Source organism: Homo sapiens, chromosome 11 (genome assembly GCF_000001405.40).
Source record: "Homo sapiens chromosome 11, GRCh38.p14 Primary Assembly".
Taxonomy (NCBI): Eukaryota; Metazoa; Chordata; class Mammalia; order Primates; family Hominidae; genus Homo; species Homo sapiens.
This window is the reverse complement of record NC_000011.10, coordinates 74,053,847-74,066,434: the sequence shown is the minus strand read 5'-3', so window position 1 is coordinate 74,066,434 and position 12,588 is coordinate 74,053,847. Positions and strand designations below refer to the sequence as shown.

At 41.3% G+C, this 12,588-nt stretch overlaps 1 protein-coding gene across 2 annotated transcripts in view; it reads left to right on the top strand.

Moving 5' to 3' along the window:
- The window catches only part of C2CD3 (C2 domain containing 3 centriole elongation regulator), a 158,285-nt gene that overhangs the window by 104,568 nt on the left and 41,129 nt on the right, over positions 1–12,588 (top strand). For both annotated transcript variants that reach the window (NM_001286577.2, NM_015531.6), the window contains exons 25-26: positions 8,891–9,029; positions 11,764–11,828. In NM_001286577.2, the coding sequence (NP_001273506.1) occupies positions 8,891–9,029; positions 11,764–11,828 (204 nt within the window). The remainder of the gene's footprint in view (positions 1–8,890; positions 9,030–11,763; positions 11,829–12,588) is intronic.

Below are 12,588 nucleotides of genomic sequence, written 5' to 3'. Positions count from 1 at the left end.
GACTTTTTTTTTATACTTTAAGTTCTAGGGTACATGTGCACAACGTGCAGGTTTGTTACATATGTGTGCAGATTTGTTACATATGTATACATGTGCCATGTTGGTGTGCTGCACCCATTAACTCGTCATTTACATTAGGTATATCTCCTAACACTATCCCTCCCCCCTCCTGTGTCCAAGTGTTCTCATTGTTCAAGTCCCACCTATGAGTGAGAACATGTGGTGTTTGGTTTTCTGTCCTTGAGATAGTTTGCTCAGAATGATGGTTTCTAGCTTCATCCATGTACCTACAAAGGACACGAACTCATCCTTTCTTATGGCTTCATAGTATTCCATGGTGTATCTGTGCCACATTTTCTATTTTATTTTTTATTATACTTTAAGTTCTAGGGTACATGTGCACAACGTGCAGGTTTGTTACATATGTATACATGTGCCATGTTGGTGTGCTGCACCCGTTAACTTATCATTTACTTTGGGTATATCTCCTAATGCTATCCCTCCCCCCTCCCCCCACCCCACGACAGGCCCTGGTGTGTGATGTTCCCCTTCCTGTGTCCAAGTGTTCTCATTGTTCAATTCCCACCTATGAGTGAAAACATGCGGTGTTTGGTTTTTTTGTTCTTGGGATAGTTTGCTGAGAATGATGGTTTCCAGCTTCATCCATGTCCTTACAAAGGACATGAACTCATCCTTTTTTATGGCTGCATAGTATTCCATGGTGTGTATGTGCCACATTTTCTTAATCCAGTCTATCATTGATGGACATGTGGGTTGGTTCCAAGTCTTTGCTATTGTGAATAGTGCCACAATAAACATACGTGTGCATGTGTCTTTATAGCAGCATGATTTATAATTCTTTGGGTATATACCCAGTAATAGGATGGCTGGGTCAAATGGTATTTCTAGTTCTAGATCCTTGAGGAATCGCCACACTGTCTTCCACAATAGTTGAACTAGTTTATAGTCCCACCAACAGTGTAAAAGTGTTCCAGTTTCTCCACACCCTCCCCAGCACCTGTTGTTTCCTGACTTTTTAATGATCGCCATTCTAACTGGTGTGAGATGGTATCTCACTGTGGTTTTGATTTGCATTTCTCTGACGGCCAGTGATGATGAGTTTTTTTCATGTGTCTGTTGGCTGCATAAATGTCTTCTTTTGAGAAGTGTCTGTTCATATCCTTTGCCCACTTTTTGATGGGGTTGTTTGATTTTTTCTTGTAACTTTGTTTAAGTTCTTTGTAGATTCTGGATATTAGCCCTTTGTCAGATGGGTAGATTGTAAAAATTTTCTCCCATTCTGTAGGTTGCCTGTTCACTCTGATGGTAGTTTCTTCTGCTGTACAAAAGCTCTTTAGTTTAATTAGATCCCATTTGTCAATTTTGGCTTTTGTTGCCATTGCTTTTGGTGTTTTAGACATGAAGTCCTTGCCTATGGCCTGAATGGTATTGTCGAGGTTTTCTTCTAGGGTTTTTATGGTTTTAGGTCTAACATTTAAGTCTTTAATCCATCTTGAATTAATTTTTGTATAAGGTGTAAGAAAGGGATTCAGTTTCAGCTTTCTACATATGGCTAGCCAGTTTTCCCAGCACCATTTATTAAATAGGGAATTCTTTTCCCATTTGTTTTTGTCAGGTTTGTCAAAGATCAGATGGTTGTAGATGTGTGGTATTATTTCCGAGGGCTCTATTCTGTTCCATTGGTCTATATCTCTGTTTTGGTACCAGTACCATGCTGTTTTGGTTACTGCAGCCTTGTAGTATAATTTGAAGTCAGGTAGTGTGATGCCTCCAGCTTTGTTCTTTTGGCGTAGGATTGTCTTGGCAATGCGGGCTCTTTTTTGATTGCATATGAACTTTAAAGTAGTTTTTTCCAATTCTGTGAAGAAAGTCATTGGTAGCTTGATGTGGATGGCATTGAATCTATAAATTACCTTGGGCAGTATGGCCATTTTCACGATATTGATTCTTCCTATCTATGAGCATGGAATATTCTTCCATTTGATTGTGTCCTCTTTTATTTCATTGAGCAATGGTTTGTAGTTCTCCTTGAAGAGGTCCTTCACATCCCTTGTAAGTTGGATTCCTAGGTATTTTATTCTCTTTGAAGCAATTGTGAATGGGAATTCACTCATGACTTGGCTCTCTGTTTTTGGTGTGTAGGAATGCTTGTGATTTTTGCACATTGATTTTGTATTCTGAGACTTTGCTGAAGTTGCTTATAGGGACATGGATGAAACTGGAAACCATCATTCTCAGCAAACTATCGCAAGGACAAAAAACCAAACACCGCATGTTCTCACTTATAGGTGGGAATTGAACAATGAGAACACATGGACACAGGAAGGGGAACATCACACTCCGGGGACTGTTGTGGGGTGGGACGGGGGAGGGATAGCATTAGGAGATATACCTAATGCTAAATGATGAGTTAATGGGTGCAGCACACCAAAATGGCACATGTATACATATGTAACAAACCTGCACATTGTGCACATGTACCCTAAAACTTAAAGTATAATAATAATAAAATTTAAAAAAGAGAGATTTTGGGCTGAGACGATGGGGTTTTCTAAATATACAATCATGTCATCTGCAAACAGGGACAATTTGACTTCCTCTTTTCATAATTGAATATTTCTTTCTCTTGCCTGATTGCCCTGGCCTGAACTTACAACACTATGTTGAATAGGAGTGGTGAGAGAGGGCATCCCTGTCTTGTGCCAGTTTTCAAGGGGAATGCTTTCAGTTTTTGCCCATTCAGATGATATTGGCTGTGGGTTTGTCATAAATAGCTCTTATTTTGAGATACACCCCATCAATACCTAGTTTATTGAGAGTTTTTAACATGAAGGGCTGTTGAATTTTGTCAAAGGCCTTTTCTGCATCTATTGAGATAATCATGTGGTTTTTGTCTTTGGTTCTGTTTATATGATGGATTACGTTTATTGATTTGCATATGTTGAAGCAGCCTTGCATCCCAGGGATGGAGCCAACTTGATCATGGTGGATAAGCTTTTTGATGTGCTGCTGGATTCGGTTTGCCAGTATTTTATTGAGGATTTTTGCATTGATGTTCATCAGGGATATTGGTCTAAAATTCTCTTTTTCTGTTGTGTTTCTGCCAGGCTTTGGTATCAGTATGATGTTGGCCTCATAAAATGAATTAGGGAAGATTCCCTCTTTTTCTATTGATTGGAATAGTTTCAGAAGGAATAGTACCAGCTCCTCTTTGTACCTCTGGTAGATGCGGCTGTGAATCCATCTGGTCCTGGATGTTTTTGGTTGGTAGGCTATTAATTATTGCCTCAATTTCAGAACCTGTTATTGGTCTATTCAAGGATTCAACTTCTTCCTGGTTTAGTCTTGGGAGGGTGTGTGTGTCCAGGAATTTATCCATTTCTTCTAGATTTTCTAGTTTATTTGCATAGAGATGCTTGTAGTATTCTCTGATGATAGTTTGTATTTCTGTGGGATGAGTAGTGATATCCCCTTTATCATTTTTTATTGTGTCTATTTGATTCTTCTCTCTTTTCTTCTTTATTAGTCTTGCTAGTGGTCTGTCAATTTTGTTGACCTTTTCAAAAAACCAGCTCCTGGATTCATTGGTTTTTTTTTTTGAAGGGTTTTTTGTGTCTCTATCTCCTTCAATTCTGCTCTGATCTTAGTTATTTCTTCCCTTCTGCTAGCTTTTGAATGTGTTTGCTCTTGCTTCTCCAGTTCTTTTAATTGTGATGTTAGGGTGTCAATTTTAGATCTTTCCTGCTTTCTCTTGTGGGCATTTAGTGCTATAAATTTCCCTCTACACACTGCTTTAAATGTGTCCCAGAGATTCTGGTATGTTGTGTCTTTGTTCTCATTGGTTTCAAAGAACATCTTTATTTCTGCCTTCATTTCGTTATGTACCCAGTAGTCATTCAGGAGCAGGTTGTTCAGTTTCCATGTAGTTGAGCAGTTTTGAGTGAATTTCTTAATCCTGAGTTCTAGTTTGATTGCACTGTGGTCTGAGAGACAGTTTGTTATAATTTCTGTTGCTTTACATTTGCCGAGGAGTGCTTTACTTCCAACTATGTGGTCAATTTTAGAATAAGTGTGATGTGGTGCTGAGAAGAATGTATATTCTGTTGATTTGGGGTGGAGAGTTCTGTAGCTGTCTATTAGGTCCGCTTGGTGCAGAGCTGAGTTCAATTCCTGGATATCCTTGGTGACTTTCTGTCTCGTTGATCTGTCTAATGTTGACAGTGGGGTGTTAAACTCTCCTATTATTATTGTGTGGGAGTCTAAGTCTCTTTGTAGATCTCTAAGGACTTGCTTTATGAATCTGAGTGCTCCTGTATTGGGTGCATATATATTTAGGATAGTTAGCTCTTCTTGTTGAATTGATCCCTTTACCATTATGTAATGGCCTTCTTTGTCTCTTTTGATCTTTGTTGGTTTAAAGTCTGTTTTATCAGAGACTAGGATTGCAACCCCTGCTTTTTTTTTGTTTTCCATTTGCTTGGTAGATCTTCCTCCATCCCTTTATTTTGAGCCTGTATGTGTCTCTGCACGTGAGATGGGTCTCCTGAATACAGCACACTGAAGGGTCTTGACTCTATCCAATTTGCCAGTCTGTGTCTTTTAATTGGAGCATTTAGCCCATTTACATTTAAAGTTAATATTGTTAATGTGTGAATTTGATCCTGTCATTATGATGTTAGCTGATTATTTTGCTCGTTAGTCGATGCAGTTTCTTCCTAGCATTGATGGCCTTTACAATTTGGCATGTTTGTGGAGCGGCCAGTACTGGTTGTTCCTTTCCATGTTTAGTACTTCCTTTGGGAGCTCTTGTAAGGCAGGCCTGGTGGTGAGAAAAATCTCTCAGCATTTGTCTTTACAGGACTTCATTTCACTTTCACTTATGAAGCTCAGTTTGACTGGATATGAAATTCTGGGTTGAAAATTCTTTTCTTTGAGAATGTTGAATATTGGCCCCCACTCTCTTCTGGCTTGTAGAGTTTCAGCTGAGAGATCTGCTGTTAGTCTGATGGGCTTCCCTTTGTGGGTAACCCAACCTTTCTCTCTGGCTGCCCTTAACATTTTTTCCTTCATTTCAACTTTGGTGAATCTGACAATTATGTGTCTTGGAGTTGCTCTTCTCGAGGAGTATCTTTGTGGCATTCTCTGTATTTCCTGAATTTGAATGTTGGCCTGCCTCACTAGGTTGGGGAAGTTCTCCTGGATAATATTCTGAAGAGTGTTTTCCAACTTGGTTCCATTCTCCCTGTCACTTTCAGGTACAGCAGTCAGATGTAGACTTGGTCTTTTCACATAGTCCCATATTTCTTGGAGGCTTTGTTCATTTCTTTTTACTCTTTTTTCTCTAAACTTCTCTACTCGCTTCATTTCATTCATTTGATCTTCAATCACTGATACCCTTTCTTCCACTTGATCAAATGGGCTACTGAAGGTTGTGCACACATCACATAGTTCTCGTGCCATGGTTTTCAGCTCCATCAGGTCATTCAAGGACTTCTCCACACTGTTTATTCTAGTTAGTCAGTCGTCTAATCTTTTTTCAAGGTTTTTAGCTTCTTTGCAATGGGTTCGAACATCCTCCTTTAGCTTGGAAAAGTTTGTTATTACTGATGGTCTGAAGCCTTCTTCTCTCAACTCGTCAAAGTCATTCTCCGTCCAACTTTGTTCCGTTGCTGGCGAAGAGCTGTGTTCCTTTGGAGGAGGAGAGGCGCTCTGATTTTTAGAATTTTCAGCTTTTCTGCTCTGGTTTCTCCCCATCTTTGTGGTTTTATCTACCTTTGGTCTTTGATGATGGTGACGTCCACATGGGGTTTTGGTGTGGATGTCCTTTCTGTTTGTTAGTTTTCCTTCTAACTTTCAGGACCCTCAGCTGCAGGTCTGTTAGAAATTTGCTGGAGGTCCACTCCAGACCCTGTTTGCCTGGGTATCACCAGCGGAGGCTGCAGAACAGCAAATATTGCAGAACAGCAGATGTTGCTGCCTGATCCTTCCTCCAGAAGCTTCGTCTCAAAGGGGAACCCAGCTGTATGGGTGTCAGTCAGCCCCTACTGGGAGGTGTCTCCCAGTTAGGCTACTCAGGGGTCAGGGACCCACTTGAGGAGGCAGTCTGTCCGTTCTCAGATCTCAAACTCCGTGCTGGGAGAACCACTACTCTCTTCAAAGCTGTCAGACAGGGACGTTTAAGTCTGCAGAAGTTTCTGTTGCCTTTTATTCAGCTATGCCCTGCCCCCAGAGGTGGAGTCTACAGAGGCAGGCAAGCCTCCTTGAGCTGCGATGGGCTCCACCCAGTTCGAGCTTCCCAGATGCTTTGTTTACCTACTCAAGCCTCAGCAATGGTGGACATCCTTCCCCCAGCCTCACTGCCACCTTGCAGTTCGATCTCAGACTGCTGTGTTAGCAGTGAGCGAGGCTACATGGGCGTGGGACCCTCCAAGCCAGGCGCGGGATACAGTCTCCTGGTGTGCCGTTTGCTAAGGCCGTTGGAAAAGTGCAGTATTAGGGTGGGAGTATCCTGATTTTCCAGGTACCATCCATCATGGCTTCCCTTTGCCAGGAAAGGGAATTCCCCAACCCCTTGTGCTTCCTGGGTGAGGCAATGCCCTGCCCTGTTCCATGGGCTGCACCCACTGTCTGATAAGCCCCGGTGAGATGAACCCGGTACCTCAGTTGGAAATACAGAAATCAACCGTCTTCTGCGTTGCTCACGCTGGGAGCTGCAGACTGGAGCTGTTCCTATTCGGCCATCTTGGAACCTCTTTCAAGACTACTTGTTAAATGTTAAACTGCATGTGGACAGGAATAAAATCTGTGGTTCCTGAGTGTGAATTTGTTCATCAGAATGCTTTCTGTCCAGAGGGACAGACTGAGGCCCCTGGAGGAGTACTTACTGAAAGGAGCAGCGAGATAGAGAAAAGGGTGGAGCCTCAAAGATGAACTTCACCTATCAGGAGAAGTGGGAGTATGGATTTGGAGAAATCTTTCTTTTTTTTTTTTTTTTTTTTTTTTTGAGACAGAGTCTCGCTCTGTCACCCAGGCTGGAGTGCAGTGGTGCAATCTCGGCTCACTGCAAGCTCCGCCTCCCAGGTTCACGCCATTCTCCTGCCTCAGCCTCCCAAGTAGCTGGGACTACAGGCAGCCACCACCACGCCTGGCTAATTTTTTGTATTGTTTAGTAGAGACGGGGTTTCACCATGTTAGGCAGGAGAGAATTCTTGAGCTAGACAGTTATAAAGAATACAAACCAGTTAGAATACACATACAGAATCTGTTCCCTGGAGCATGTCGATTATGTTTAGGACATACTTCTTCTATTCTTTTCTGCTCTGCTCATCTCTTTTCCTTCATCTGTAATCCTGACATTCATAGCATTTTAGAGCTGAAAGTGATCTCGTGAAATATATAGTCTATATTTTGTAAAGTGTCTATTATTCAGTGCTATCCAAAAGAACTTTCTGTTATGATGGAAATGTTCTGTGGGTTCAGTGTCCAGTATGGTAGCCACTAGCCCCATGTGGCTATCGAGCACTTGAAATATGGCTAGTGCAACCAAGGAAGTAAATTTTTTATCTTTAGTTTTAATTAATTTAAAGGTGAATGGCCACATGTGGCTAGTGGGTTATCTTCCTGGACAGCTCAGTTAGACTATCTAGTATCATCAGCCATCTTCATTTTACACTGTCTTAAGACAGAATAACTTGACCAAGTCTCCCACATTGGAAACCTGATCTTGTAAAAATTAACATTAGGTATTCTCACCAGCACCCAGTATTTTACATTTGTTAACCCCATAGTAGAGGCAATATAGGAGACAGTTTAGAACATGGACTCTGGAGCCAGAATGCTTGAATTGGACTCTCAGTTCTACCATTTAATAAATATGTGACCAACTAATTTAATTTCTCAGTACCCAGTTTTTAGAAATCTATATGATAGAAATAATAATGATAGAAATAACAATGATAGAAATAATGATAGAAATCTACATGATAGAAATAATCAATAGGATAGAAATAGCTATCTTATAGGGTTGTTGTAAGGATTAAATGAGTTAATATATATAAAGTACATAGAACAGTGCCTTACATATCACAGTAAGTGATATGTAAGTGTTACTTACTCTTAGTATTTATCTTAATCCTTACAATATCTTTGGAAGTGTAAGTATAATATGCCCAATTTTACAGTTGAAGAAGCTGTGGCCTAGATACTTCTTGCCCAAAATCACATTGCATGTATGTGGCAGAGCCAATATTTGGTCATCTGACTCTTAGGTTCAGGACTCTTTGTAGTTCTGTCCTGTCTTTTGCCTCTCAACACAGTATTTTCCATCTTCCCACAAAGTACAGAACATGAGAGAAGTCACTTCTTTTTGGAGAATATTTATGAACTGAGCCTTAAAAAGACAGGGTAATAGCAGAAAGGTCACTGAAAACATGTCATCAATTGATTGATTGATTGATTGACACGGTCTCACTCTGTACCCCAGTCTGGAGTGTAGTGGTGCAATCTCAGCTCACTGCAGCCTCTGCCTCCCAGACTCAAGAGATCCTCCCACCTCCTGAGTAGCTGGGACTACAGGCATGTGCCACCATGCTTGGCTAATTTTTTTTTTATACATGGGATCTCACTGTATTGCCCAGGCTGGTCTTGAATTTCTGCGCTCAAGTTGTCCTCCTACCTTGGTCTCCCAACGTGCTGGGATTACAGGCTTGAGCCACTACACCCAGCCTGAAAACATTTCAGACACAGGGGGATAGCTTGAGCAAAGACCCCATAGGAAGAAGAGGGCCAGGAATAGTCCTGCTTGTGCCTGTATAATCTGAGGCTTCTTGTGTACCCTAAAGTACAGTCACTGCACTTTATTCTATTTCAGGGAGCCCCTTGACAGAGCGGAAAGTATCGATACCCAGTTGTTGTGTATCCTTTGCAACAGCCGATGAGTCATCTCCTGTATACACCCAAGTGGTTGAAAACACAGATTCCCCCATCTGGAATTTTCAACAGCAGTCAAGGTTTGTGTTATCCGTTATTCGTCAGCCTTCCAGAATCTGCTTTTTGTTCCAAGACACAAAGTCAGAGCAAGGACTATAACCAACACAATTTTTGAGCAGACCTGGAAAATGCTTTTCTTATCCAAGCAATTATTTAATCCTAGTGTTTATGAATTCACAGGAAGCAGTGGTTTAAAGGTTTTGTTTTAGTGTTTTTAACTCTTCTCAGTATGCTCAAAAATTGTTCAGTGAGAGGACCTCTCTGTTTTAGGCACTTGGAATTAAAGATTATTAAGATACTCCATGCAATTGAGGAGTTCATGGTCTTACCTGGGAAAAAATATCAATAACAAATTACCATCAAGCTGGGTTTGGTGACACATGCCTGTAATCCCAGCTACTGGGGGAGGGGAGGGGTGGCATTGGAGGATGGTGGAGCCCAGGTGGGAGCATCACTTGAGCCCAGGAGTTCGAGACTTGCCTGGGCAATATAGCAAGACCATGTCTCAAAAAAAAAAAAAAAAATTACAATAAAGAGAAATAAGAAGGGGATGCTGGTAGAGCTCAGAAAAAAAGATTATTTAGGACAACCTAGAAGTTCAGGGAAGGCTTCATAAATAAGACACCTCAGCTAAATATTGAAGAATGTATATAAGTTATCCAGATGAATAAGAGTCGGAAAGATATTCCAAACAAAAAGAACTAATATCAGAAAAGGCTGTGGATTTTCATCCTTGGAAAAGACTTCTGGTGTAGTGGAAAGACCCTGGGCATTTGAACCAGAGACACTTGGTCTCCAACTCCATCTCTGTAATTTACTGACTGTGTGATCAAGTTACATAACATCTCTGAGCCACAGATTCTTCATCTGTAAAGTGGGGATCATTTTTATAAGGTCATTGTTAGGTCCAAATTAGATGACATTTAGGGCCTCATGGTACATATAGCAGGTATACAACAAATGTTAGGTCTCCCTTGGGAGGCTCAAAAAATAGGAGGTAAAGTTCTGTCAGCCACTGTGTGGTGCCACTCAGATTTTATTAGGACAAAGAGGGCTAATTAAATGTGAGGGGGCTGGCATAGGAAGCCATGAATTAAACTTTATTAAATGTGATGCAATGTTATGATAATAGTAACAAAATCATTGTTAGAATTTATACTGTATCACCTTTTATAAAGTTTAATTCTTGTCCACCAACACTAGCCATACCCATGGTGTCTGGTCTTCTGTTTTCTCACAGTGTTTGTGTACTTATTGAGTCTCAGCAGTTGGTCACAGGTTCAGTGATTTGTAATTTGAGAGGCTGGGATGAGTCAGGAGCTAGAACTGCAGTGAAAACTCAGTGCTATCTATAGTGAGCTACTGGAAATTATAGAAATTCTGGCCATAGTGGCCAGAGTACTTCATATAAAATATCAGATCCTCCCCAAAAGGCAGGAAACCAGAGGACTGAGCTTCTAAGTGGAGGTGACTTGTTCATTCACAACCTAAAAACCTAACAGAATTACAAAACTTCACAAACGTGATGAAGGGACATTAGCAATATCCTGATTTCATCTCTTCACTTTACACTTGAGGAGACTGTGGCCCAGGGAGGCTACATAGTCTGTTGGCAACAGAGGCAGGATTGGAAGAAAAATGAATAATGGCACTGTTTATAATTCCTTTATCACAAAATTGTTTCTTTTGATCTTCATAGCAACTTGCAGGTCAATAGTATTATCCCATTTAACAGGTAAGAGAACCAGGCCTGGAAGAAGCTAAGTGCATGGCCAGAGTCACTCAGGTGATAATAGCAGAGCTAGCATTCAGAGGTGAATCTTTTAATTCCCAGCTAGAATTAGAATCTCTGACCAATATTTGTTTCACTTTAGCACCGTGCCGCTCATTGGTCAGGAAGTAGGCTCTATTCACTTCCCCAGGGGTGTTTGGGGAATGAAATCAAGCCTCTTGGTTTTCTCTAGATCTCCATCTTGCTTACCTGGAGCACTGGCACCTGGTTTGGAACTTTCCAACACTTTGTCACTTAAAACTGTAATTTATGTAATATATAAATGTATTGGAGGTGTTCAGTGGATTCCACTTCAGCTTCTTTATCTGGTGTGAAAGTTAGGCATTTTCTTATTTTGTTGCCTTGCCTCTGCATGGTGTAGCATTGAGGTCAGGCAAGCCAGGGTTTAAATCCTAGCCCTACTACTTACTGACTCTTAAGTGACCTCAAGCAAACCATTTTACTTCTCTGAGTCCAACCTTATCATCTGTAAAATAAGGATAATAATGTCCATGTTATAGGCTTTTGTGCAGATGAAATGTATATGAAACACGTGGTGCCATGCCTGGCCCAAGGTAGGCACTCAGTAAATGTTCTTTTTCTCTTCCTCTTCCCTTCTCTCCATTCTCTCATTCTAAGGCATAAGCGGAATCATTACCCATTCCAGTAAAACTCTTAAATGCATGTTGAGGAACTTCTTTTCCATACTTCCTCCTCTGTCTTAGGGAAACTTTGGGAGTGGTGGGGAGGAAATGTTGTGTCAGGGGAGCCTGTTTTCAAGTCTTGGCAAGTTACTTCACCTCTCTGAGCTTCCATCCCCTCATTTTAACTGTGAAGATAAAAATATATGCCAGAAGATGGCTAAGAAGATGAAATAGTGTTGGGAAAGTGCTTTGCAAATTACAAGATATTCTTCAAATCTAAGTTTTATACTACAGAAAGTTCCTATACATTTAGTTTACAGTGGTTGTTTTTCTTAATAGGCTATCAAAAGAGCTGCTTCTGGACCCACAACAAACCCTGGTCTTCAAAGTTTGGCATAAAGGAGGTATGAACTCTGTTAAAAGAATATCTGCTTGCTTGTAAAAATAAGCTCACATCCTGTTAACAATCTACCATTCCTTTTTTTTTTTTTTTTTTTTTTTTTCCAAACCAAGTGAAGCATTCCCGACAGTGCTGGGAATGCAGATATGTGGTAGAGGGTAATCCCCCAGAAGGCCACATTATTCTCCTGTAAGAAAAAAAAAATTTTTTTTTTTGAACAAGATCTTGCTCTGTCACCTAAGCTGGAGTACAGTGGCATGATCATCTCAGTCTCCTGAGTAGCGGGGACCGCAAGCACATACCACTATGCCTAGCTAATTTTTTTTTTTTTTTTTTTTTGAGACAGAATCTTGCTGTGTTGCCCAGGCTGGAGGGCAGTGGCACGATCTTGGCTCACTGCAAGCTCCGCCTCCCAGGTTCACGCCATTCTCCTGCCTCAGCCCCCCAAGGAGCTGGGACTACAGGCGCCTGCCACCACGCCCGGCTAATTTTTTATATTTTTAGTAGAGAGAGGGTTTCAGCGTGTTAGCCAGGGTGGTCTCGATCTCCTGACCTCGTGATCCACCCGCCTCGGCCTCCCAAAGTGCTGGGATTACAGGCGTGAGCCACCGCGCCTGGCTGCTAATTATTTTTTTGTACAGACAAGGTCTCACTATGTTGCCAGGCTCTAACTCCTCTATCTCTAACTCCTGGGCTCAAGCAATCTCCTGCCGCAATCTCCTGCCTCAGCCTCCCAAAGTGCTGACACTACAGGCATGAGCCAC